This window comes from Homo sapiens, chromosome 6 (assembly GCF_000001405.40).
Source record: "Homo sapiens chromosome 6, GRCh38.p14 Primary Assembly".
NCBI classification, from domain to species: Eukaryota; Metazoa; Chordata; class Mammalia; order Primates; family Hominidae; genus Homo; species Homo sapiens.
In genome coordinates, this window is record NC_000006.12 from 155,250,097 (window position 1) to 155,277,478 (window position 27,382).

The 27,382-nt window shown below is 41.2% G+C and overlaps 3 protein-coding genes across 15 annotated transcripts in view, besides 2 other annotated features; 2 read left to right on the plus strand and 1 right to left on the minus strand.

Moving 5' to 3' along the window:
• TIAM2 (TIAM Rac1 associated GEF 2) overlaps window positions 1–7,627 on the plus strand; it is a 262,409-nt gene extending 254,782 nt beyond the window's left edge. For all 4 annotated transcript variants that reach the window (NM_012454.4, NM_001384546.1, NM_001384547.1 and 1 more), the window contains 6 exons: window positions 817–925; window positions 1,849–1,907; window positions 2,852–2,957; window positions 3,877–3,964; window positions 4,323–4,477; window positions 6,388–7,627. In NM_012454.4, the coding sequence (NP_036586.3) occupies window positions 817–925; window positions 1,849–1,907; window positions 2,852–2,957; window positions 3,877–3,964; window positions 4,323–4,477; window positions 6,388–7,025 (1,155 nt within the window). In that variant the 3' untranslated portion in view covers window positions 7,026–7,627. The remainder of the gene's footprint in view (window positions 1–816; window positions 926–1,848; window positions 1,908–2,851; window positions 2,958–3,876; window positions 3,965–4,322; window positions 4,478–6,387) is intronic.
• Window positions 1–27,382, minus strand: part of TFB1M (transcription factor B1, mitochondrial) — an 84,614-nt gene that overhangs the window by 20,226 nt on the left and 37,006 nt on the right. For 5 of the 10 annotated variants that reach the window (NR_146725.2, XR_007059269.1, XM_047418852.1 and 2 more), the window contains exon 6: window positions 3,530–3,668. Coding sequence is in view for 8 of the 10 variants with exons in the window: in XM_047418852.1 (XP_047274808.1) it covers window positions 3,531–3,668 (138 nt within the window). In the remaining 2 variants the exon portion in view is untranslated. Of the gene's footprint in view, window positions 1–3,529; window positions 3,669–6,037; window positions 7,987–10,176; window positions 10,473–27,382 lie in introns of those variants that run through there. The other 5 variants (NM_016020.4, NM_001350502.2, XM_011535873.3 and 2 more) reach the window with 3 other exon arrangements.
• Window positions 3,687–4,261: an enhancer, noted in NCBI's record as "H3K27ac-H3K4me1 hESC enhancer chr6:155574917-155575491 (GRCh37/hg19 assembly coordinates)". NCBI's record gives its function as "activates a minimal SCP1, AML or CMV promoter by ChIP-STARR-seq in naive H9 embryonic stem cells {active_cell/tissue: H9 hESC(naive)}" and the evidence as "EXISTENCE:reporter gene assay evidence [ECO:0000049][PMID:30033119]".
• Window positions 4,262–4,835: an enhancer, noted in NCBI's record as "H3K27ac-H3K4me1 hESC enhancer chr6:155575492-155576065 (GRCh37/hg19 assembly coordinates)". NCBI's record gives its function as "activates a minimal SCP1, AML or CMV promoter by ChIP-STARR-seq in naive H9 embryonic stem cells {active_cell/tissue: H9 hESC(naive)}" and the evidence as "EXISTENCE:reporter gene assay evidence [ECO:0000049][PMID:30033119]".
• Window positions 13,917–26,452, plus strand: CLDN20 (claudin 20). The gene is made up of 2 exons (NM_001001346.3): window positions 13,917–14,192; window positions 25,520–26,452. Exon 2 carries the CDS (start codon window positions 25,624–25,626, stop codon window positions 26,281–26,283), a length of 660 nt encoding a protein of 219 aa, NP_001001346.1. The 5' UTR covers window positions 13,917–14,192; window positions 25,520–25,623; the 3' UTR covers window positions 26,284–26,452.

A 27,382-nucleotide genomic window follows, 5' to 3' on the forward strand; every position in this document is an offset into this window, starting at 1 on the left:
AATGTGTCTAATGAACTACACAATTTACATATAGACATATCATAAAATTCATTACACTGGTTTAAAATATAACCTTATGTCACGTTCACATTGTCTGGAACATCCATGGAGGGTGAGAGCTGGCAGAGGGTGGGGTGGAGAAAGGACATGGGAACTGGCATGTGGAGTCTGGGGCTTTTCCTTTTTGATTTTGCCTTTTTTTTTTTTTTTTTTTAACATCAAATATTGGTGGTTACCTGCTTACTTATAAAACTAGTCCAAGCAGGATTTGACATTTTCTGTATTTTTCCTTTTTATCTGATTGCTTAATTTAGAATCTTGTGCTTCTCAAGCCAGCATGCAGGAAGTAGCATAGTTTAGGGAGAAAATGGCAGGAACAGGAAAGGACTGGAGATCAGTCCTTCACTCTGGCCAGTTTCAATGCTGGTGCTCTTTTATCAGCAGCCCGAATGGAGCTCAGAGGTGATGGATGTACTAGATCCCAGGGGAAAGCTTACAAAAGGCACTCTGGAAGAACCACGGACACTGGTAGAGTTCATCTTATGGAAACTGAGTTGGTCACAAGGCATGTCTCACCTACATGTGCGTGCACTGGAGCAAAATGCCTTCACCTTTATGTTATTCATCAGACACTTGGGTGCTTAACTCATATTTTCAAAAGCTCCACCGTTTAAGGCCCCATGTTTACAGGTATCATAAAAATTAAACCAGCTGTGCTTGCATTTTAGCAATGACTGTGTGTACATCACTATCTAACAAGAGATCATCTAGCCTGGGATTTCCGTATCTTCCTTACCTCCTGTTTTTACAATCTAGGTAACAGAACTTTCGATGGGAGAGCTTCTGATGCACTCTACGGTTTCCTGGTTGAATCCATTTCTGTCTCTAGGAAAAGCTAGAAAGGACCTTGAGCTCACAGTATTTGGTTAGTATTCCATTCAGAAGAATGCAGACTGAACAGAGGCTGGGATTACGGAAGAACTTCACTAGCCGCACCAGTCCAGCTCACTCCTGAGCTCCAGGAGTCAGAATTGCTATAATGGTTGGGGACTTAACAGGGCCAGCCCCCAACTATTTGAAACTCCGGCATCGCTCTGCATCCTCATTATCTTGTTCTCCCTTCTGCTGCTTGGCTCAGGCCAAGTGTTACAGGAACAGATCCCTGCGGCTATTTTGAAACCTGCTATCTTTTTCTTTTTCTTTTTCTGAGACGAGGTTTTGCTCTTGTTGCCCAGGCTGGAGTGCAATGGTGTGATCTCTGCTCACTGCAACCTCCACCTCCCAGGTTCAAGCTATTCCCCTGCCTAAGCCTCCTGAGTAGCTGGGATTACAGGTGCTCGCCACCACGCCCGGCTGATTTTTGTATTTTTAGTAGAGATGGGGTTTCACCATGCTGGCCAGACTGGTCTCGAACTCCTGACCTCAGGTGATCCACCTGCCTCAGCCTCCTGGAGTGCTGGGATTACAGGCATTAGCCACCGTGCCTGGCCAGAAACCTGCTATCTTAATAGTCTGCTGTATTTCAAATGTTTTAATTCTGAGAGTTGGGAGAACAAGTGACAGTATATTGTCACTGAGATGAACACAGTGTCCTCAGCTTTCAATAAAACAAAGAGTTTAAAAAAGCCAAGATCAACTTCTAATAGTAGCTTTTAAATAAGCAGGTGCTTCTGCATAGTTCAAATATGAGCGAAAGGGAAGTACCATTTATTCACTCATGTTGGCAGAGTGAGGTCTTAGAGACTCATACGTTTGGAGAGTGTTACTCTGTTAAGACGTTCAGCTCTAGTTTAACCTTGGAAGAGTTTGCATAAAATAAAGACTTTCTTTCTCTTTTCCTTTCTTTAGTTTTTAAGAGAGCCGTCATACTGGTTTATAAAGAAAACTGCAAACTGAAAAAGAAATTGGTAAGGCAAAAATTCATTTTAATTTAAGCTACCTTTTCATAGCTGTATCTTCCTATTAACGTTGAACTGAAAAGCCCACTGAGCACCAAGGCTGGGCTGACTGATACTGCTTACTCTGAGGGTAACTAACCCCATCACATACTGAGAGCGTTTCTGAGTCTCCCCATGAAAGATGTCTGTTTTAAAAGAAGATATACAGCTGGGCACGGTGGCTCATGCCTGTAATCTCAGCACTTTGGGAGGCTGAGGCTTGAGCCCAGGAATTTGAGACCAGCCTGGCCAACATGGTGAAACCCTGCCTCTACCAAAAATACAAGTAACTGGGTGTGGTAGCACGTGCCTGTAGTCCCAGCTACTCGGGAGGCTGAGGCAGGAGGATCAATTGAGCCCAGGAGGTGGAAGCTGCAGTGAGCCTTGATCATGCCACTGCATTCCAGCCTGTGCGACAGAGTGAGACCCTGTCAATAAATACATAAATAAGTAAATAAAGTAGATAAATACTCATATGGGGGCCTACATAGAACATCGACTTTTATATCCCTGAAAATGGCCCATGTTTGTTCCATAAACATAGTCTGTGAAACTTTGGTTTATTTTCAAATGCCTTTTACCTTCACTCAGAAAAAAGCAAAGCCTAGCTGTGGATACCATATGCCATTGGTTTACCATTCAGAGGCAGCGTCAGGGCGTGGAAGCTTTGGCTGCTGTTCTTGCTTTGAGACCTGTAACTGCTTCTGAACCACAACTCTGCCTCCGCACCTTCCCTAGCATGTGAGGTCTTTGAGAACTGGGTGCGTAGCTGATTGACTTCTGTGCCCTGAACACCCACATGGCTGCTCGGAGACTCGCCCACAGGGAGAACATAAACTTCTATTCACTGTGCACACATCCTCCCTCAGTGACAGCTTCCCTAACACTTTTCTTGGTGGGCCTTCATGTTACAGCCCTCGAATTCCCGGCCTGCACACAACTCTACTGACTTGGACCCATTTAAATTCCGCTGGTTGATCCCCATCTCCGCGCTTCAAGTCAGACTGGGGAATCCAGCAGGTAACTGTTTCGTGCAGTATGATGCCAGAAAAAGCATTTTAGTAGACTTAACTGTGGAATGTAAATTAAGAAAGGACCTTGGGGATAATTTTTGGTGCCTTTTATTTTATAGACAAGGAAAATGAGGACAAGAGAGGTTGTTTTGATGTTCCTTAGCAGACTTCTGGGAGAAACTAAATGCTGGTGGATAGCTTTTTCTTTGCCAAATGCCTTTCATTGTTTCCTTATTTTCCCTATCAATAGTTTTCAACATTTTCCTTTCTGCCTTGATACCCTAAAATGTGTTAGAAGAACAAAGATCCACAAATTTATGTTTTTACAAATTTAGAATATAGCAGAAAATTCCTTAAGGTTAGGTAGTACTGTAGGTGATATAAAAAGAAAAAAATCTTTGACTCTGGAAAATGTTCAGAGATCCTTCCAGAGTAACCTTGTTTTGGTGACAGGTATCTGGTGACAGAAGAGGCCAGCAGGCTGAGTCATGCAGTGACCTGCTGGGCTTCTGTTTAACTTTTGTCAGAAGTGCTTATGTTTTCGAGAAAATGACCACATTTGGGGCAGGCCTCTTTTACCTCAAGTACCCCAGCTCCTGTTCCTTCCAAGGAAAGGGCAAAACTGCAAAGGAGGTTGAAGAATAGGATCCACTGAATCTCCTCTTCCCCAGAGAGGGGCTCCAGAGAGAGGGTGAAGGCAGTTCAGATGGAGGAAAATCTGCAGCAGGAAATGTAAAAAGTAACCAAAAGGCATTTCAGTTCTTGTAACTGTGAAAATCATACATAGAACAAGCCACAGAAGAAAATGAGCCAGGACTGGGAATATTAGACTTTCTTAACTGATGAGATTTCAACTTTACAAGTGTTCTTAACCACAGCATTTTGGGCAAAGTTGTAGACTCTTGTTTCCATTTCCTTTTACATAGGGACAGAAAATAATTCCATATGGGAACTGATCCATACGAAGTCAGAAATAGAAGGACGGCCAGAAACCATCTTTCAGTTGTGTTGCAGGTATGACTGACTTCCAAAGATTAAAACCAACAGAAATAACATAGAATTATGTCTCTTAAGGGAATTTATATTTAGTGCCCTCCTGAATTTTGATGATATCAGGGTCATACTCCCCACCCTCCGAAAAAGGCAACTGAGGCCGCTAGTAGGAGACTATGTTGATTAAATAAATATCAAAATCTTAAGAGTGATCAATTCTCACCTCCTTCTGTACGGGAGGCCACATGGCACTGCTGCTGGGTGGCTGGCTGGCAGCCTGGTCCAGCAGGTGCAAGGCACAGGAACACAGGCGGGCGTGGAATGGAAGCACGATGAACACTGTGGACACTTCTGCTGTTTTCTCTCCCCCCCCACCCAGTGACAGTGAAAGCAAAACCAACATTGTTAAGGTGATTCGTTCTATTCTGAGGGAGAACTTCAGGCGTCACATAAAGTGTGAATTACCACTGGAGAAAACGTGTAAGGATCGCCTGGTACCTCTTAAGAACCGAGTTCCTGTTTCGGCCAAATTAGGTGAGAATTTTGCTAGCCTTGTGTTTATTCAACAAAATATTATGAGCTTCTGAAAAGGATATATGCTCTTGTAACATAGCTGTGACTTTTCACTTTGTAAGTCATCGAGGTACCTTTATCTCCTTTTAAGAAACCTAAACATGCCTCTTGCTCCCAGACGTTCTACTGTAAAATACAGCCACCCCCAACCCCCAGTCCCTTGTCTTCCTACCCGCTGACATAGTCCAAATGTACGATTTTGTTTCTTCCACTAAGATGTGCATGGGTCCAGGGACTTTGTTTTCCTCACTGCTGTATTCCCAGTGCTCAGAACAGTGCCAGGCATCCTGAAGGTCAATGCTGAATGAAGATCAAGAACCTTACACAGAGGGTCTCCACCTTCTGATGGTTCAACCTACAATTTTTCGACTTTACCGTGGTGTGAAAGTGACACACATTCAGTAGAAATCGTACTTCGAGTACCCAGACAACCATTCTGTTTTTTGCTTCTAGTGCAGCATTCAATACATTTCATGAGATACTCAACACTTAATTATAAAACAGGCCTTGTGTTCTGCCCAACCATAGGCTAATGTAAGTGTTCTGAGCACACTGAAGGCAGGCTAGGCTAAGCCGCAGTGGTTAGTAGGTACATTAAATGCATTCTCGACTTTCCATATTATCAACTTAACAATGGGTTGATTGGGATGTAATGCCATCTAAGTTAAGGGGCCTCTTATACTCGTTCTTAATCGATAGGGCACCAAGTAAGCATTTCAAATCACGTTGTTCTTTCTGCTTGTTTCTAAAATTTCAGCTTAAGTTTTCAGAACCTTATTTCTACATTAACTATTTTGTTATTATCTTTCTTGTTTTTAGGCTTAGAAAATGTAAAACTTCGCTTTTTCATGTCAAATCAGTGTGACCTCTTCAGATCTACCACATATTTACTATTTTCTCCATTGTCAAAATAAACTGGCCATCAAAATAACATGCTGTTATTACTTTGTAGAAACACCAAAACTGAGAACTCCCTTCCTTCTTTCAATCCAAGAGAACAGAACTACACACACACACACACACACCTATAACATAAAATTTCAGAAAGTTGTTTTGAAATTCCAGCAGAGACAGTTCTCATATGAGAGATAAAGAGCATTTTCTAGGCTGGGCATGGTGGCTCATGCCTGTAATCCCAGCACTTTGGGAGGCCAAGGCAGGTGGATCCCTTGAGCTCTTGAGAACAGGAGTTTGAGACCAACCTGGGCAACATGGCAAAACCCCATCTCTACAAAAAAAATATAAAAATTAGCCAGGCGTGATCATGCGCACCTATAGTCCCAACTACTCAGGAGGCTGAGATGGGAGGATCACTTGAGCCCAGGAGGCGGAGGTTGCAGTGAGCAGAGATCACACCACTGCACTCCAGCCTGGGTGGCAGAGCAAGACACTGTCTTTAAAAAAAAAGGGGGGGGGAGGGGCATTTTCTACTTTTAATTGAGCAGCAAGGGAAATCCACAAGGTGAGAAGATGCATAGGAATATGGTGTGATCTTCATGATCAAATTACAAAGCACCTTAGTGAAAGAAAGGAGCCTAGATTTATTATTACCAATTAACTTTTCAACTTACTCCTTGGCAAAATAAGAATCTTAGCCCATGTAGTAGTTTCTAGTGTCTAGTTCTATTTACATAATTGAGCTCTGGTAATCTAAAAATGCTGAATTGCCTAACTTACAACTGTAAACCTAAGTCAAAAATGTCCATGTTTTCAGTAGCTACATTTTTGCCTAATTACCAGGATAGTTGCTAACTGAAGTCATATCATAAAATAAAATCTTAATGTTAAATCTTACACAAGCTTTGAGGCAAACATTACACATTGTGTAACCTGTTTCTGTATCACAGCGAAATGTGTTTTTCTCACTGTAGCTTCATCCAGGTCTTTAAAAGTCCTGAAGAATTCCTCCAGCAACGAGTGGACCGGTGAGACTGGCAAGGGAACCTTGCTGGACTCTGACGAGGGCAGCTTGAGCAGCGGCACCCAGAGCAGCGGCTGCCCCACGGCTGAGGGCAGGCAGGACTCCAAGAGCACTTCTCCCGGGAAATACCCACACCCCGGCTTGGCAGATTTTGCCGACAATCTCATCAAAGAGAGTGACATCCTGAGCGATGAAGATGATGACCACCGTCAGACTGTGAAGCAGGGCAGCCCTACTAAAGACATCGAAATTCAGTTCCAGAGACTGAGGATTTCCGAGGACCCAGACGTTCACCCCGAGGCTGAGCAGCAGCCTGGCCCGGAGTCGGGTGAGGGTCAGAAAGGAGGAGAGCAGCCCAAACTGGTCCGGGGGCACTTCTGCCCCATTAAACGAAAAGCCAACAGCACCAAGAGGGACAGAGGAACTTTGCTCAAGGCGCAGATCCGTCACCAGTCCCTTGACAGTCAGTCTGAAAATGCCACCATCGACCTAAATTCTGTTCTAGAGCGAGAATTCAGTGTCCAGAGTTTAACATCTGTTGTCAGTGAGGAGTGTTTTTATGAAACAGAGAGCCACGGAAAATCATAGTATGATTCAATCCAGATATGGGTTAAATTCCTCATTTTACTTTTAAACTGGTGGTAAAGTGGAAATTGCAAAAAAAAAAAAAAAAAAAAACTGTTCATTCCTGGGTTTTGTGCAGTATACATTTTCCCACAAAATGGTTGTAAAGATTTAAGTTATTTTAATTTATTGTGGATCAGAAACCTAGATGAAACTGGTCAGAATCTGTAAATTACTTAGTTTATATCCACTTTGAGCAGGTATCAAATGATTTAGGATCCTTAAAATTACATTCTAATAATTAAGTTATGTGGAAAAAGTAAGGCTGGGGAAGTCGTGATTAATAGTTTTCAAAGGGCCATTTTTTAAAATCCTCTGGGCATTTTCTTTCAGCTGTTTGTTAGTTTTTGCTTTATTTAAAGCATATTTAAGTTATTTTAATGTGGTTTAGGGGCAAAATGTGCAGATACTTCATTTTTGTAAGATAGATTGTAATAGATGCTGTTTATACTAAACATGTCATAACTATCTATACAGTATATATTAAAAGAAAGCTTGTACTGTATCTTATTTGATGATATTTATTTTCTCTGCCAAGCTGTATAGTAAAAGGAAAATAAGTCACATCTGGTCATTGGCATTTGTATCGTCATTCTGTAAAGACAAAAGAGTACCTATATAAGAAGCTCCACGTAGTGCAAATCGACATCTGGTAGGCTGCTCGCCCCCAGGCAGCAGCTAGAGTCTGTAATTCTCTGCGTCATCCTCTTCTTTTTCTTCATTTTTGCTTTTTCTTCGCTTGAGTTCTTCTCTGAAATTATATGCAAAGAGTTGTGGGTCTTCATCACACATTTTTCTGTATACATCACAGAGGCTCTTAAAGTGTGAGATGGAGAGCTGGCGGGGCCGAAGAGTAGGGTCTATGTCTGCCAACTCTAACAGCCTGCCCGTGCTTTCCAAGCGCTGCGCTTCAGGGAATAACATTCTGAGGGGAAGACAGACAGACAGAAAAATAAGAATTTTACTTAAATTCTGCAAATCATGACACTTTTTAACCCTCATTTGAAAACAACACAACACAGTTGCTGGCTACTGACAGCTGGAGAGAGTGGCAGGAGCCTCTTGGATTATATAGCACCAGATAAGAGGCACGGCCCGCCACTGAGGCAGCTCTAACCTGAGGCGCGAGGCAAGCACACAATGGGAAAGCATTCTCCAAAGCTAAATCAGTACATGTACTTTTTAAAGGTAAGTAAGTAAGTTTAAAGTAACATCTGCTCAGCTGCATTCTTGTAGAAACATAAGCTTGATGTGCCTCATGTTTCAATGTGAAAGTTGTATTATTTCTTGTGTGACAAATCATCAGTTTTGATTCTCTAGAATTTGAATGTATCAGCCTTTAGAACTCTTCACGCTAAAAGAGTTACTTTTTTTTGCTAAAAGTTTGAAAATAGCTGATAGGAAAATATAATTATTCCTCTTGTTATTTTTCAAGCATCTTTAAAACTGATTTGAAGTAGAGGATATATTTTAAATTTCATCTATCCAAATTGAACCATTGTTTTAAAATGAATAGCAGAACTGCTTGAAATGCTGCGGAGTTAGGCCTGGATTGCATTTTTCTTCAAGTCTCAGGGCTCTTACAGAGCTCATCCCAAGGGGCTTGGAAGGTGTCATGGCCAGGGGAGATAGATAGCATGTTGCTTATAGGCTGATGGTCCTTTCAACAAGGAATTGCATGTCCCCCACACTTTCAGGGTGAGGTGACAGATCTTTGAGTTCAGTTTCATGGCAAAGAGGGCCTGATGATGGCAGTTTCTAATATCTGAAGAACACCAATAAGTCAAAGTCCTTTGACCTGTTACCCTGGGTGGCACAGTATCTGGTCCATGTCTGTCCTGAGGATGGTGTATCTGAAATGAATAGGGCCCTTCACTTAGCTGGGGGGTTGCCTTGGAAACGCTAGTGCCAGCTCTAGGCTCAGACCAATTCCAGGATTTCCAAAAGCACATAAAAGGACATAGTTTTGTGCTCCCTCCTCCCCCATGAATCAGGGCTATCAGGTACAGCTGTGTGGGTCCTGCTCTGCGTGAGGGGTAAGTGTGAGCCAAAATCCAGCTTCTGTTTCACTCACCAGCAGTGCACAGTAGCTGGGGGCTGCAGCCAAAATGGCTGGCCAGTGGCATCTCTGTCACCAGCTCTGCACCTTAAGTCTCTGCTAGAGAAGCAGGAACTATCTGGTAAGGTGGGAATTCTGGCTTAATTAGAGGCAACAAGTGGCAGGCTGAGGCTCCAGCTTCTGCCATCTGGCATCCTCAGCAATGGGCTTTGTGGACTGCAGCACTCTTAGGAGCTGATGCCCAGCTGGCCCCTAAAATAATCTGCTGTCATTTCATATGCTAAAGGGACACTTCGGACCTTGTGAAAGAGAGAATTACAATGAAGCCATGTGAGGAGGTTTTAGAAAATGAGAAATATGTGCCTCTCACGCCGAGCCTCTTTAAACAGCGGACTATGGATAGATTATCGTAGATGGAAATCTTTTACAAATACACTTTCCTGCCTTCTTAAGCAGACTATCACTGGGCTTAACTAAACAGCTTCTTGGCTCTTTCTGGATCTGCAACAAGGCTGTGGTCCTTCAGAGCCCATCGAGGTGGGCGACCTCTAGACCACCAGGCCCTGTCAGGTTTTCCCAGTGATTCCTGAGAGCCTCTTGGCAGCAGCAGCTTTCTGTGAGATGGAAACGTGCTTACGTGAGGACTTCGTGATATGATTTTGGCTGCTCAGAAGTCATATTTGCTTCCTAGTTCTCAAGTGTGTCCTTAAAGAAGAGATAGGGCAACTCGGTAGAAAGCAAGCATTTAAAAAACCCATTATTATCTGTCTTGAGTCCTCACTGGGGAACCACGAGCTCCCTGGTACAGAGCCTCTGTGAGCTGTGCAGTCACCAACTCCAGGCTGCGCTTATGTTTAAGCCACCCTGAGAGAGGCCACCTGAGGTCTAGCAAGTCTTTGCTCTCTCCTCATTGGCAGTGAAGTCTTGTCCGTCACAGGCCTGAACTAAGTGTAATACTCAGAGCTTTAAGAATAGAGCAAACAAGGTTCTCACTCTTAAAAAGTGCCTGAGGATTTTATAAAGACTGCAACTGAAGAGAAGAAAAGGCATTCTTACCTGAGCCCTCGATGGCAGTATTTCCTTCGGAACTGAAATACATTCTGAACCACTTTTTCCACCAGCTTGAATGGCTGCTCTATCTTGGGCTGTATCAAGGGAGTGAAGTGCACCACGCCCACGTCCACCTTCGTTGTAAGCAAACATATTATCATTCTGTGGCATGATATGTGGCATAGTGTGATCAATCAACTCATCCTTGTAAAACAGGAGGATGGGCTGTCAACAGCCTGTTTTCATAAACAGACCTTTCCACGTACTTCGGTTTCATCTCTAGGCATGGAAGATGGTACATTCTGGATTCGCAAATGACATGGAGAAATCAGCCGGCTGCACCTGTTCTCTAATGACATCCACCAGACCTGTGCTTGATGGTCACTTAATTTTAAAACACAGTTTCACAATGGCTTAAAAATCAATCCAAATCATTAAAGTCAGTCAGCAGATAATAGATGGCATTAGAATATTTTAGTTTTTGAATGAGGAAAAAAATAAGCCGCAGCAGCAGCTTCAAGACACAGAGAGATGGCAGACAGGCCCCCAGGGACCACTCAGTGCTAAACTTCCCAGATAGAGACACCACTTATTTTCGGTAGACACTGATTAATCAGCTGGACTGAATTCATGAGTGTAGTCTGAAAAGCCACAGAACTTTCTAGTAGCAATTTTAAATGCCCCGAAAGGCATAGGCAGGACTGAAATTGAAAATGGAAACCATCAAAAAATGTCACTGTTTGATAGTGTTTAAGCTACTGCCAGCTGTGGAGATTCTTTAATTGTCAGAAGATAAAACTTTTCAGGCATATCTTATAAGAGATTTATACCCTGATTTGTTCCAAAAATGGACTCATGGTGATTCACAAGGACAAATTCAAATACCAAAGGAAAAACATTTAAAGACAGAGGGAAATGGATTCAAAACAGTAACTACACACACAAAAATGCTAACGGAGACCATGGTCTAGGAAATGGGAAGTCTCGTCATAATTGACAAAAGCCTCAGTCTCCAGGAATTGTTAAACTTGTTAATGAGGATCTCATACAGACTCAACAAAAGGCGAAGAAAGTACGGCAATTTAGGAGGTGTGGGCTGCACCACTGCTTTTCAAAAGGAACTCCATTGTTGAAATCCCATAGAGGTTGTCATTTTCTCCTAAGAGGACTTGCTTCTAAAGATCCTTGTGGCTACATAATTCCTTAAACAGATGAAAATGGGAGACTGGCTTTTCTGGTTGTGTTTCTTTTAGGGTAGAAGGAAAACAACTGAATATGATGTGAGACTTTATGGACAAGAAAGTGAAAATAAGCTGTGCTCAGCCTCACACAGCCTGACGCGCTTGTGGGAGGTGCCTGTGGTGCCTGAGCTGTGTCATCAAGGCCCCGGACCCCTGAGAGCTTGCACCTCCCTATTTAAACAATCAATGAGCCTGTCCCCGAAGGTTTCAGGTCAGCTACAGCTGCTCCTACTGGATGGAATGGGAAATAGAAGGCTTTGGTGGTAAGGGGCGGTGTGGGCTGGCGCATGCTGAGAATGTGCCAAGCGGCCTTTCCACACCCCAAATGCCCACCCCCAACATCCATCAGCCTTCTTGTGAAGTCCAGCAGGCTGTTCTTGTGAAGATTCTATGGTGGAACAGTAGTTATGAACAGTGACTTAACTAAGATGTCAAATGCTCTTAATAAATTTTAGTAAGTTTTTTGAATTGTGTGCTATATGTTGTTTCATGTTTCCTCAAGTTTAGTAACAACTACCTCTTCCTACAGGACTTCCCTTAGACTTTAACAAAACGCACCATAGAACAGTGCCCAGCTTGGAGAGGTCTGTGGTCATCAGGGAAAGAGGGACTGAAGAAGACAAGGGGCTGTGGAGTGGATGCAGGGTGTAGGTGGGGTAGATGTACTGCTATAGGGAGAGAAGAAAGGTGGTTTCAGCTCAGGGCAGTTCTGGGGAAGGAAAAAGAAGACCTGATCTATGAATGGCAGAGTGCAGGCAGCAGCCCAAGACACACTCCACTGACTTCAGATGTCAGGTTCCTTCCCACAAACTCTGAACTATCCTGCCTACCTCGCCTCCTCCTGATTTGTATAGAGAAGTGGTCCCAACTGTCAGGCATGTGTCTGGCCACTCTCTACACCTCGCCAGCCTTCTCTCACTGGACTCTCCATTTCCCTTTCATCCCCTGAGCTTCCTGGCACCCTTGTCCCTGCCTCCCGTTCTCCAGGACTCATCTCCTGTAACCCTTCAACTCCAGTTCTCCCAGTGACAAAGAGCCAATTCTATCAATTCTTACTAGCAGCCTGCTAGTCTCCAGAAGAAATACTCTTAGCAAAATCTGAGATAAAATCTAATCCCTGCCTAGGCCTAAAACCATGAAATATTATCAAAACTCTACATAAGGCTTACAAACTATTAAGACCAAAAGCACAAATACAGAGATAGATGCACTCTCTTCCAGTACAGAAACTGCCACTTTCAGCTTCCTTAGATTTTAAATTTTGGCCTCATCTTTATTTGCCTGATTTCATTCCTTTGAGATATAGTTGGTATTTGCAAATACAGGAAGTGTCTAACTTTTGCTTGATTTAAATAAAGTTTTAAAACCCTGAACAAATATAGTAGTACCCCATGTAAACTATAGCGTCGACTTCTAAAGTTTGAATACAATTCCAATACTCTGTTAAGTTGGCTTATATTATGTCACGGCTAAAAGAGAATTCCCCTCACAAATGCAGTTACTATTTAGTGGGAGATTCTGTAAAACTCAGCGTCAACAAAGCTCTTCCAGTTATGTCTCCTGCTTCTGGGACGGCCAGGACCTCTCCTGTACCACCCCTTCCTCTCCCTTTCCCCCAAAGGCACCTTTCAGAATTACTCTGAATGATGGAGCCCATTTTTTTCTAGAACTATAGGAAAGCTGCTTGGTAACTATGGTAACGAATACAAAAATGTTTTTTACTTATAATTGAATGCTTATTTAAAATTACAAGTATTATTTTTTCTTCCTTGAGTTTTAAGTCTATTAATGGGTTTGATTACAAAAAAGAAATCAGTACAAAGGCATCAGAAGTACTTAAAATATTCTAGTTTAATGCCGCCAGCCTTTTCCAAACTCAGTCCATCAGTATACCAAAATGACCTACTAAAATTTCAAATGAAAGGATTTAAAATGAATTTAAATATTTGCCTTTCTAACCCTATACGTCAACGCTGTAACAAGCTAAGACTGTTTCTCAGTGTTAGCAGCCTTGGCCATAACAGGCCCGAGGCAGATGTCCTAGTTTCCAGGCCAGGGTGTCTAGGACGTGACTGGTTATCAGCTCAGAGCAGCACTTGGAACTCACAAGGGACCCGGGCTAAGGAGATATTAAATCTTAAATCTTAGATATTAGATATTACAACTGAGAACTGTAATCAACATGATATACAGAGGACACTGAAGAGACGTACAACTCAGTTCCTGATGATTATCATATGCCCAAAAGCTAAGTCACGACCACATGCACAGACACAGAAACAATGCTGGCCACTGTCTACAAAAGGGTCTTCATTCAACACTCTCACGGTGTTCAAGACCATTAGAGGACAAGATAGTGGAGATGAAAAAATGATGAGGAAGTTACTATGTAAATAGCCAAGACACAGCCATAACTTAAGACAACAGAAGGGCTAGTGAAAAAAAAAAAAAAGACCACAGGGAATAATCAGTAAGACTTTAAAGAACAACATATAAGAAGGATTCAAAGTTCGAAGTGGGATGATCACGGGCAGACCTGGGTGGTTGGGAACAGGAAGCATATGGCATCTTGCAGGCTATAGGCACCACAAAATGGAACGCAGGAGGACAGGGGCTTGGGAGAGCCACTTCACTGTCGGGTAAAACAACGGAGCAAGATGAGTGCCTCCGGATGCTTGGTTTCCCCACCCTCCAGTGTCTGCTTGCTCTTCAAGTACCTCCACCAAGCTAATGACAGTCCACTTTAGGACATCACGGGCCTCGAGGTTACAACTTTCCCAGGTAAGGAGAATCCCAGGTAGAGGCAGCAAGTCACTGATGCCTGTGATATGATAATTATGCATGTCATAGAAAAAGAAAATACTGACAAATGTGAATGTAGATCACATTTTCTGGAATTGGTTCACTCTACCTGTGATCCATGTCCAAAAGCCAATTTAAGGAAAGAATTTCCACTGTAAAACCTTAAAGCTGACAGCATTCTAAGTATTTCAAACCAACTGGTTCAATAAAGATCAACTACACGGTCAGTACCTATCCTAAAGTTTACAATTTGTGTTATTGTAACAATATTTATTTCTGCAGAAGTTCTGTCCTCACCCTTTTTTCTTCCTACAGATCTTTGTTTTTTTCTCTTTCTTCTTGGGATCATAAAAAAAGAACAGATTTTAAACAGTCACATAGTGTTTCCTCTCAGAGCAGATGTGGTAGGAAGAACTGAGGCCAAGAGAATGACAGCAAACTCAGATCACAAGAGAAATAAGACTAAGAAATGTGGTGAGGGGGATGAAGAGTTTTTTTACTGTGTAAATTATGTAAATGTACATATGTATGTATGTAAATTACACCTATTAGTAATAACAACAACAAGATGAGTCAGTGTCTCTTGGTCCCAAGAGATTAAACAATTTCAGGGAGATGCACGTGTAATCCTCAAGAAAGCACAAATGGAACAAGAACTGACAATTGTTGTATAAAGGTTTTCTGTTACATTTAATCTGGAGTTCCTGGATGATCAGAGGGAAAAGACCTTCCTAAAACTAGGCCTTTTCCACAAACCACGCCCTTGGTGTCTGTGAAGCAGCAGCATCTGGACGTGCCCTGTGTTTCCTGTCCCGGGCTGTGCTCCCGCTTGGGTTTGTGGATGTGGCAGGAGCTGCCTGAGGCAGCTTCGAGGCTGCCCAGCCGGGCCATGGGTGTGGCAGCACATTGGCAACTGCCAGGGTCTGGACCCCAGCGCTGCAGGTCCTGAGCAACTCCCGTCCCTCAGAGAGAAGACAGGACCTCAGAGAGGCTCTCAATCTAAACAAACTCAGAAGGCACTTGATAAATGCTGCTAGTAATATTATTAAAAGACTGAGAAATAGAACATGCATACAAATATAGTAATTCATAATAAACCATAATTATCAAACGGACTAGACATCACACTGAAGATGCTTGGTCAGTACATTCGTATATTCATAGCTGATACTGTTAATTTCCTAAGGCTGGGACAGAAGAAGAACATTATTTTAGGATTAGGTCAAATCACTTTAAATTTGTAGGGCTGGAACAGGTAACTATTTTATCTTACTCTGAACTGTCATTATTTTCAAGATTGAATGGAAAGCAAAGAAGAAAAAACATTTGTATTAGGGTTCTCTAGAGGGACAGAACTAATGGAATATATATATATGAGTTTATTAAATATAAATATTAAATATATTTATATATAATATAAATATATATTATATATAATATATAATATATATTTAATATATAATATGTAAATATTAAATATATATATAAAGAAGAGTTTATTAAGTATTAACTCACATGATCACAAGGTCCCACAATAGGCCATCTGCAGGCTGAGAAGCAAGGAGAGCCAGTCCAAGTTCCAAAACTGAAGAACTTGGGAGTCCAATGTTTGAGGATAGGAAGCATCCAGCACGTGAGAAAAGATGTGGGCTGGGAGGCTAAGCCAGTCTCTCTTTTCACATTTTTCTGCCCACTTATATTCTAGCTGAGCCGGCAGCTGATTAGATGGTGCCCACCCAGATTGAGGGCGGGTCTACCTTCCCCACCTCACTGACTCAAATGTTAATCTCCTTTGACAACACCCTCACAGATACACCCAGGATCAATACTTTGTATCCTTCAATCCAATCAAGTTGACACTCAGTGTTAACCATCACAACATTTTTTTTAAAATTCAGAACCCCAACTTTTCATTAGAATTAAATGGACAGCATTTGAAAAATACAAGGATGGGGCTCCATCCCAGAAAATTAAATAAAAGCCACTGGGTTGGGCCTGAGCCTCTTGGGGCTTTTCCAAAGCCCTCGTGTGGGCAGAAATGAGAATCACAGGTTTGGGGAACAATCCTAGTTGCTTGGGAAAGTATCACACAGTCAACTCAAATCCTGGAGATTAAATTCACTAGAAGTGCAGCTAGAGCCCTGTGACACCCACAAAGCCAGCCTGAGTCCCTGCTGGATACAGCTCACCAGGGGGGATGAAAAGCCAGATACAAACTTCCCCAGTCTCGCTCACAGTTAAGAATGACCAAATGAGGCTGGGCGCTGTGGCTCACACCTGTAATCCCAGCACTTTGGAAGGCCAAAGCGGGCGAATCATGAGGTCAGGAGATCGAGACCATCCTGGCTAACACGGTGAAACCCCGTCTCTACTAAAAAATACAAAAAATTAGCCAGGCGTGGTGGCGGCCGCCTGTAGTCCCCGCTACTTGGGAGGCTGAGGCAGGAGAATGGCGTGAGCCTGGGAGGCGGAGCTTGCAGTGAGCTGAGATCGTGCCACTGCACTCCAGGGTGGGCGACAGAGCGAGACTCCGTCTCAAAAAAAAAAAAAAAAAAAAAAAAAAGAATGACCAAATGAGCCAGTTCTGGAAAGTGAGACATTAAAGCATAGTCTGGGGTGGTGGTGGGAGAGGGGAAGAGAACTCTAGAATACTTTGCTGCCTTTTTTTTTTTTTTTTTGAGACAGAGTCTCACTCTATCGCCCAGGCTGGAGTGCAGTGCAGTGGCATGATCTCGGCTCACTGCAACCTCCACCTCCTGGGTTCAAGCAATTCTCGTGTCTCAGCCTCCTGAGTAGCTGGAAATACAGGTGGGTGGCACCACACCCGGCCAATTTTTGTATTTTTAATAGAGACTGGGTTTCACCATGTTGGCCAGGCTGGTCTCAAACTTCTGGCCGCAAGCAATCCACCTGCCTTGGCCTCCCAAAGTGTTGGGATTATGGGCATGAGCCACCACACCTGGCCGTAGAATATGGTGCTTCTTGATGAAAGGGTCAGCTGAGGCAGCCATCTCATAGCTGTTGAAGTAAACCTAAAATATAGAGACAAATCTCCAAATTCAATGTTTTATTTGGGAAGCAAGAATTGTAAATTAGGGCCTACACACAGACCAGGTGGTCTTCAGTATGTCCAAAGAACAAAAGGAAGGTTGGGAGTTTTATTAGAGAAATGTTATGTGTTGTTTTGAAAGAAAGCTCATTGGCACTAGAGAAGCTTTTGGGTGTGGACAAGCTCTGATTGGTGAGTGACGACAGCAGGTAAAACCAGTCTTAGAGTCACAGTAGGTGGTCCCAGCAGCTACTAGCTAAAACTGGTCTTGGTGTTACAGCAGGCCATTTCAGCAGCTAGGCTTATAGAAAGTGTAAATTTTGGAGCAGGTGCGACAGTGCTATGTGCCCTGAGTGCTTTTTCCTCCTGGCCCCTTGACTCTGATTTAGTTGGGTAAGACAAGAATGACCTAATTTGTATAATCAACCTTCACACAGCCAAGAAAAGTTCAGTTTGAAGGAACAGAAAAACAGAATGAGCTGGAATACTTAAGAAGAGTTTTAAATTGCAGAACTAACCTTGAACAGTACTGACTTTCAAACAATGAGTCCTTATAGTTTAGTCTACTGTTAGATTTTTCTGTAATTTGTCCACTGAAACATCTGAAACCAATACAAGCCCAAAGCCCCTTCTACAAATTTGTTTTCAAAATGTAGACAGGAAATTTTGGGTTCTTTTTACAGACCGAAGATGCCCTTGACTACATTATATATATTTAATTATATTTCCAGAATTTATGAACACCCTTTATCTTGAATCCATTTCCTATGCAATATCTCTACTCATCTAGTTATTTCCATTTAATCGCTCCCATTACCACAGCCTCCCAGAGTCTGTCTGTCTCCAATTCTGATCTCTTTAAATCCTCCACACCATAGCCAAGTGCTCTTAAACCACAAATTCCACCACAAAAAAACACTCTGATGGTTCACACTGCCTCTAGTGGTGGCCTTCAAACTCCTTCTTGAAGAAAATGTCAGCCACCAAAGTGTTTCCCCTTAACCCTGATCCCCAGGCTTCTTTGATTAGGGTAGAGGTCTCTCTCATAAGCCTGTTACTGTGATCCAGTGATGAGAAGATGGAGTGCAATGCTTTATAAACTGTTAAGCTCTATGAAAAGGTGTGGTATTGTTATTTCCAAAATACTCAGTTAAATTACTGATTCTTTCAGAAAGACAATAAAAGCCTACCTGAACATCCAGATTAACATCACTAAGCAACACCACACACTAAGGGAAGCTAAAGTAATTTCTGCTTAAAGATAAATGAAAACATGATCTGTGACCTTACCCCCAACCCGGTGCTCTCTGAAACATGTGCTGTGTCCACTCAGGGTTAAGTGGATTAAGGGCGGTGCAAGATGTGCTTTGTTAAACAGATGCTTGAAGGCAGCATGCTTGCTAAGAGTCATCACCACTCCCTAATCTCAAGTACCCAGGGACACAAACACTGCGGAAGGCCGCAGGGTCCTCTGCCTAGGAAAACCAGAGACCTTTGTTCACTTGTTTATCTGCTGACCTTCCCTCCACTATTGTCCTATGACCCTGCCAAATCCCCCTCTGCGAGAAACACCCAAGAATGATCAATTAAAAAAAAAAAAAAGAAAAAAGAAAAAAAATTAAAAAATTAAAAAAAAAAAAAAGATAAATGAAAACATTCTAAAGAAGAAAGATGGACTGCAATCACTCAACCCACAGTGGACTTTGCAGGACTGAGAAGTAAATGCTGATATGTAAAGCTACAGAGATTTCTGGGTTAATTTGTTTCCATAGCTTATAAACTACCAAGAGAGGTAGGACTTACAAATATGCTCTTTTCTAATTAGAGGTGGGGCAATGCTATGTAGTATGTCAGGGTTTCAAAAATCATTGTTTTGGGACTCAACCCCATTCCTGCAATTTACTCATTTTATGGCCTTAGTCAAAAGTTACTTCTCTGTAGCTTAGTTTTCTTTTCTTTTCTTTTCTTTTTTTTTTTTTTTGAGATGGAGTCTCGCTCTGTCACCCAGGCTGGAGTGCTATGACACGATCTTGGCTCAATGCAACTTCCGTCTGCTGGGTTCAAGCGATTCTCTTGCCTCAGCCTCCCGAGAAGCTGGGGCTAATGGCATGTGCCACTACGCCTGGCTAATTTTTGTATTTTTAGTAGAGGCAAGGTTTCACCATGTTGGCCAGGCTGCTCTTGAATTCCTGACCTCAGGCGATCCGCCTGCCTCAGCCTCCCAAAGTGTTGGGATTACAGGTGTGAGCCACCACGCCCGGCCAGTTTTCTTGTCTATAAAATTCTTCTTATCTGCTAGGTTTGTCTTGAGAATTAAGTATTATAGCACCTTAAACAGTACCTGGCATATGGAAAGCAGGTTATAAATGGTAGATAATGTTATTAGCAAGATGACAAACTAGAGTTCCAAAATTACTTAAAATTCTAGTCCTGCTTAGAAATAAAATTGTATTTTTAATCATTCAAGTGCAATTTATAGTTTAACATTATATACTTAAAGTCAGTTTCTGAATTCATTCATTGGGCAAATATTTATTGTATCCCTACTATGTGCCAGGCACTGATCCTGGCACAGGAGAATCAGTGATGAACGAAACAGAGAGAAGTGCTTGCCCTGTGGGGCTGAACTTCTACCTCAGAGGTCTTGCGCTACAGTGGAAGCAGAAGAGGAGCTCAGAGGTGGAAGGTTCTTGTTCTAGTCTGAAGTCAGAAACAAAACAACTTGTTGACTCAAGGGATGTTGGGTATGGAATCAGGGATTACTTTTAAGATCTCAGGCGGCCAAATGGAAGGAAGGATTTGCCACTAATGAACCTGGGAAGACCGTGGGGAGAACAGTTTGGGAATGGTCAGGAATTCAGTTTTGTGCCATGACAGGTCTGAGCTATCCATCAGTGACGCCAAGTCAGCAGACAGAAACACAACTTGGGAGTTCAGGGGAGAGGGCTGGGCAAGAGATTTAAGCTGAGGGGTCATAAGACTTACCTAGGAGAGTCTCTGGACTTAAAAGATTAATATCCCTTTAATGTCCACATCAGAAGTGGATAGTAATGTTGATAAACTATATTTCTATTTACACTTCTACTTTCCTAGCTCCTTTTTTATATAAGAAATTCTGCCTTCATTAAAGGTCTATAGCTAACGAAAGTTGCTTCCAGTTCAGAAGTTTTCCTTCTAAAGCAGGCAATTAATATTTTATAGGATTATTGTTTTCATCAAGGCAAAAAAATAATCAACATGTTTTGAGAATAGAAATGTACATTAAATGTACATTAAAGCATGCTTAACCCATTTATCCTCCAGCCAGCTTCCTTATGCTAGAGGTTAGAGTGGGGAGCAGCCGGGTCCCTCCATCTGCCATCAGTCAGCCTCACAAAGCTTATGTCTGCACTAACAACCATGGCGACCAGCGAAACAAGCCAGGACGCTGGAGGGCCCTGGTGAGGTGTCTTCGGATGCAGCACTAATGACACTGCTGCGACTATTAGTGTCTGCAATTCAACTCAACTTCTTCCAGTATTTATTTATGCACTGAATTGTTTGTATTTCCCATGAAATAAAATCAAAGAACAAAGCCAGTACACATAAAGCTTACAACGACTTAGAGAGCTAAGACTTAACATGTAATCAATACTATGGCTGAAAAGCAAACCCACAGATGTTAGACTTAGAAAAGAGGAAAAAGAGTATCTTGCTCAATGCAAAACTTAGGATTAAAACAAACCAAAACAAAAAATCCAGATAACCGAAACATGTGTTTGTTTATTTACTACTTTTAAAGAAATGATTAAAGTCTAACATGGTTATTAACAGTTGTTAAATTTAAAAATCCAATAATAAAATTATCTTCTTTCTGTATAATGGCTATGAATTTATAGCTTGTAGAATAAAACTTACTGAGGAAGAAAAAAATGAGAACCCAAAAGGATGGCAGTGAAATCCATCTGTACCATTATTCATGGGCTACAACCTCAGTATCTGATCACAGTCTTATCTGATGTGTCTCATCACATCATTTTGGGTAATTTATTCATAACATTTCCTGAATCTCTATAGTTATACTCCACAAATCTAAGTGGAAGCAATAACAAGAAAACTCAGGGCACCACACACACAAAAATACCTGTAGGTTTAGTGATCAGATTCTAGTCAAAAGTTGTTGCTGGGTTTTCTTTTTTCTTTTATTGAAAAAAATACATATGTTAAAAAACTTTCTTCTGAATGATTATTTTGAAAATTAACAATTTTATGAATTCAGGTTCCAGACAAGTCAAGAATACCAGGGAAAAAAGGGAGTCTCAACTCTCATTTGCAAGGCACGACATTGTTAAAAATATTTCAGACCACATTCTTGAACTGAGGACATAAAATAATACATTATATCTTTCAACATAGAGAAAATTTCAAAAATAAGTTATAACTATGTGACTAAAACATTATATTAAAAGAAAAGAAGGCCTTTTTGTGAGCACCCAAATAATTCCTCCTCTGTACACAGTGACACAAAAGCATTTTTAGCTTTCAGGTTTCAACAAATCCTGTTGTAACAACAATTCCCTCCCTTCCCCGCCTCTCCTTTCTTAATTCTCCCACATCTCAAAAAATGAGATGGAGAACCTGGTATTTATCTTCTAACACCATCAGCAGTTTTTACCTCTCAGATTTCTACGTTGTCCTTTATTTGCTTTTTTCAAGTTAACTTATTGGAGCTTTATAAACATATCCAGAATTTCTGAAATAAGCCTCACGTATATGGTTTTTCTTCACCATAACTAACTGAGGTTAATTTGAAGACAACTGACCGAAGGAGTTAAGACAGTGAAGGCTACTGACAAAAGGTATGGTAAATAAAACCTGTCTTAATGCTTAGAGATCTAAGAATAGGTCTTTCGGTATTATTTAGTTCGAATTATAAGCAGTAAATCTGCTTTTAAATATTATTTTTGATATAAATAAACCTTGTCTGGAAAGCTGACTTTACATTTTAGTGAAATCTACAACAGACTTTCTGTTGGCGAGTAGTTCATAAACTGAAGGTGCCTGGGTTCTGTTCTGTGTGCACTGTGTTTTGGGACCATGAGAGAGTTTTCACTGTAGACCATGTAAGTGTTTACATGCGACCCCTCCCCTCTGCTTCTGCTTGCCTTCACAGTATTTCTCTACCACCACCACCACAGCTGCTGGAACAAAGTGTGCCTTTATTCTCTACGAGATAGAAATTTTGAGAGAACAGGCCACAAACGGTATTATACTCGTGGCTGGAGGGTAAAGCGCAATGCAGCTAAAATGCCAGTATATTTGTATGAGCAGAAAGTGACCTTCATTTGGAGAACAAATTCTTTCTACATAAGTTCTCTATGCAGAAAAAAAAGCATTTGAATCCAATATTCAACAGTAAGCAAGCACTATGCTAATTAAATGACACGTCATATTGTTTACACTGATTTTGGCTGTCTGTAATTGATCACTGCCAGTACTTGTTAATCATGATGAACAAACTGTCTTCATGTCTGAAATATACTGAAAGTTATAAAATATATCAGTTAATGGGAAGAAAAGGATTATAATTGGTAAGCTGAACATAGATTGACAACAAAGGTTATTCAGTCAAAGTAGAAAGAAAGAGAGAGGGAGAGAGAAAAGTGAGCAAGCAGATGCTGTTAGAAAATGTTCCAGCAACCCCACACTTGAAGAATCCCTAAGCTGAAAATGGTCCAGAGGCAGTAATTTAGCAAGCTGGCTGGAGTCCGAAATGCTAAAACCTAAACTTGAAAGCAGCTATTACAAAACTGTAAACATGTGCTTGATTTTTTTTCTAGAAACTTTAACTTTTGTTCTATTTTGGTCTAAGTTTGGAAAACAGAAAAGAAACTGTATGATAGCAGGTGAATCCTAGGCACACTGATGTCTACAGATAAGTCTGACTCTTAAGAACTTAAAATCCTAGGGAAATCCTTTTCTAAAATGGTAAGATTTACATTTTCAGATTATGAACAAAAACAGAACAGCACAATCCAGATAGTCTAGGATCTAATGTCTTAGAGAATCAATGTTTGTAGCTATGCAAAGTTTATACTTTAAATATAGGCAATGGATTAGTACTATTTCAAATATTTAACCAAAGCCAGGCATCAATCTCCTTGCCGAGTCATCTGAAGCTGAGCCATGTGGCCTATTAACATCCTCTACAGTCCTTTTTTTCCTTGGTGGGGAGGGGAGTGGGTGAAGTAGACAGTTAATGGTGCTTTTTGCCTCCAGATACAGTGTTTTCCCTGGTTCCCAAGGGAAACACACAGGGGGAGAAAGAATTTCAGCAGGAAGTGTTGTGGTAAAAGGGGAAAGGATGCGGGATGACCCTGTGAGGTAGGAGGGGTGGAGAGAGATCTGGACGCTGCAGGTTGGCTGCTGAAGACTGTATGACATGGGGTGATATCCTATCTGAACATTCTGATCTGAAAAAACAAGGATGCTTGAGATTGTCTGTCTGAGGTTTCTTTCAGCTCCAAGATTCTATGAAAATAAATCAGCCCAAGGAAGGAAGAGAAAAAGGGAAAAGATCCAAATAATTTTAAACATCAATTGTCACAATACATAAGAAATAAAAATACTAATAATGATGTCAATTTTAAATTACTGAGGACTTTCTGTGGCTTAAATATTGGTCTAAGCCCTTAAAATGTATTAACTTATTTAACCCTATGAACGAAGTATTTCAATCCTCCCCATTTTCCAGAAGAGGATACTGAGGCACAGAGAGGTATAAAGCTAAGAACTGGCCCAAGTGTCTTTGACTCAAGAGCCTGTATCACCTTTTGTAAAATACATATGAATCACGACAGAGCCACTTTAGCATACCATTCAAAATTAACTCAGAATGACAAAGAAAGTCAGTACTGCAGTATTTCAGAAACCATTACATTTTTCTCAAATAAGGCAGTAAGCAGTGCCAGATGGGCTAGATAGGGGAACAGGAATAGAAAGATGGAATCGAAAGCCTTTTTGTTTCTTAAAACACAGCCAAGCCACAAAGTAGGTGGTCTTTTCCTTCCTCTTAAAAATAAACAAAGAAAATAAAGGGTTAATTTATTTCTGGTATCCTTTCACATACAACTAATGATGTGGTTATTTCTGGTATGTATTTTTGAGATCTGCCATCACTACTTCTGAATTGTTCAGAATAGCCGGCTTCATTTGGGCCAGGAAATGATTCTGGTCCCAATTAGAAAGGACCTCATGTTCTTATATACAAAAAACAGTGGCTTAATTGTTTTGAGTACCAGGCACCTGAAGTAAAACAAGTACTAACCTCAGTCAGGATTTTGCAAACAGGTATTAACTAGAACTTAGGGATAACCATGCCAGTGACTCAGACTTCTTTCCACTGCTGTCCTTCCTCCTCAAATGGTTCACTTGGGCTATGTGCCTGGCACTGTGGGTGTGTCATAAAGATCTGTTTATGAAAGCCACTTCCTAAATACTTTTCTAAAATGTATTTATAAACCATCTTTAAAAGGTGGCCTTAATTTATTTTCTTCCTTATTATGTATTGAGTATTTTCATTAAAAATAAAATCATTTGGGCGAGGCGTGGTGGCTCACGCCTGTAATCCCAGCACTTCGGGAGGCCGAGGTGGGCGGATCACGAGGTCAGGAGATCGAGACCATCCTGGCTAACAGGGTGAAACCCCATCTCTACTAAAAATACAAAAAAAAAAAAAATTAGCCGGGCATGGTGGCGGGCGCCTGTAGTCCCAGCTACTCGGGAGGCTGAGGCAGGAGAATGGTGTGAACCCAGGAGGTGGAGCTTGCAGTGAGCCAAGATCGCTCCACTGCACTCCAGCCTGGGTGACAGAGTGAGACTCCATCTCAAAAAAAATAAAAATAAAAAATAAAATCATTTGAAAAACCTATAATGCTATTAAAATTCTTTATCAGATACTATAGCTGGAATTTCAAATGTCTAAATCTCCTAACAACGTACATGTCCACGCTACAGTTTCAGCATATGTTGAGTTTTAAAAAGAATTAAGTGGGCAACTGCTTTCTTTATGCCCTGTATCAACACCACCCATGCATATCACTCAGACCAGTCTTCAAGGCCTGGTGGGAGCTTTTCTCCTCCAGCCTACAGCATCCTCATCTGCTTGGGGGCTGGAGAAGGGGGATACTCAGATGTGTTCTTGGCTCCTACTCTAAAGGGAAGCCTTTTGTTTACTTACTTTCTTTCGCTCAATCCTGGTTTTGCCTTTTTTCCTTAGGCTTTGTTATTTGGTTCTCTACTGCACAGAAATAGATAGAATTCTGACAGCCATCATTGTTAAACATCAGGATTTTCTAAGAGGACAGACTTAACAGTAACATCATGGCCTCAGCAGGACTCCAGCTCCTTGCTTTCATCCTGGCCTTATCTGGGGTCTCTGGAGTGCTCACAGCCACTCTGCTGCCCAACTGGAAGGTGAATGTGGATGTGGACTCCAACATCATAACAGCCATTGTACAGCTGCACGGGCTCTGGATGGACTGTACGTGGTACAGCACTGGGATGTTCAGCTGTGCCCTGAAACACTCCATTCTGTCCCTCCCCATCCACGTGCAGGCTGCGAGAGCCACCATGGTCCTGGCGTGTGTTCTGTCTGCTTTGGGGATCTGCACTTCCACAGTAGGAATGAAATGTACTCGCTTAGGAGGGGACAGAGAAACCAAGAGCCATGCTTCCTTTGCTGGAGGAGTCTGTTTCATGTCTGCAGGAATCTCTAGTTTAATCTCGACAGTGTGGTACACAAAGGAGATCATAGCAAACTTTCTGGATCTGACAGTTCCAGAAAGCAACAAACATGAACCTGGAGGAGCTATCTATATCGGATTCATTTCTGCAATGCTGTTGTTTATCTCTGGCATGATTTTCTGCACCTCCTGTATAAAAAGGAATCCAGAAGCTAGACTCGACCCACCCACACAGCAGCCTATCTCTAACACACAGCTCGAGAACAATTCCACACACAATCTGAAGGATTATGTGTAAATAACTGAGTAATGCATATGAAATGGAACTTTTGGGTGCCAAATGGGACTTTTAGATTAAAAAAAAATCAGAATTATGCTTAACTTTCCCTACAAAGAAAGTAGAATGTAAAATACTTTAACAACTACAAAGTAGTTTAAAATGCCAATAAAACTATCATATACAATTACATCTGTCTGAAGAGTTCTTTATTTTTTCCATTATTGTTTCCATGTTTTACTTAAAGATTTATAATTGAAAGAGGTTCTGATTACATTCATAAGGCAATTATTTGATAGCTTTTTCAAGATAATTTGCTGATACACCTTTCAAACTGGATTTTATAAAAGAACTAAACTGCCAAGTATAAAAAGTACCTTGCCCTGGTGTTAACCAAGAATATTATCCACTTTGCTATCTGGTTGGCAACAACACAGCAACTTGCTTCTGTTTTAAAGCTACAGTGTGTGAAAGTACATTAGGAATACAAGAGCTGCCTACTCCATTCAGATGCTGCTAAAACCATCCATCCCAAGTCCCCACCTCCTGTGACCAGCCCATTTCTTTTTCATTTTAGAAAACTATCTACATATATTTGTAAGAGCTGACAATATTATATGCAAACTAAGATTAGGCAGAACTGAAGAAATTGGTAAATGCTACCACAGTAAAGAAAGCCAAACCAAACTAAAATCTCTAGGACTCTTAAAGCATTAAGTACAAGCTAAGTGATAAGAACAAAAGTTTGTTTTAAAATGTTTAAGAACTCCCTTCTTCTGCTTCTAGCAAGAGGATTCTCCACAGATTAAGTTCATTTATCCTATCACATTCTGGATTTACTACCATCCCACTTCCTCTCTCATTTATTCATATTTGGATGATAAAAGTTACCTTTGTCACTTTTTCTCTCAAATTTCATTCATGTTAACAAAAACATTCTTACAAATAAGCTGTTTCAATTAATGAATGTCAAAATATATTTTAAAGAATGCTTTTAAAATATAAATTATGATATGTGATTCAAATATTTTAGCAAGTAAATAAAAATCTAGGAAACACTGCCCACTATTGTTTCTAACAATTTATTTGTTAATTGAAGCTTAGTCATTGTCAATGATTC

Coding starts and splice junctions, on each gene's coding strand:
- CLDN20 (NM_001001346.3), top strand. CDS start 25,624: ATGGCCTCAGCAGGACTCCAGCTCCTTGCTTTCATCCTGGCCTTATCT.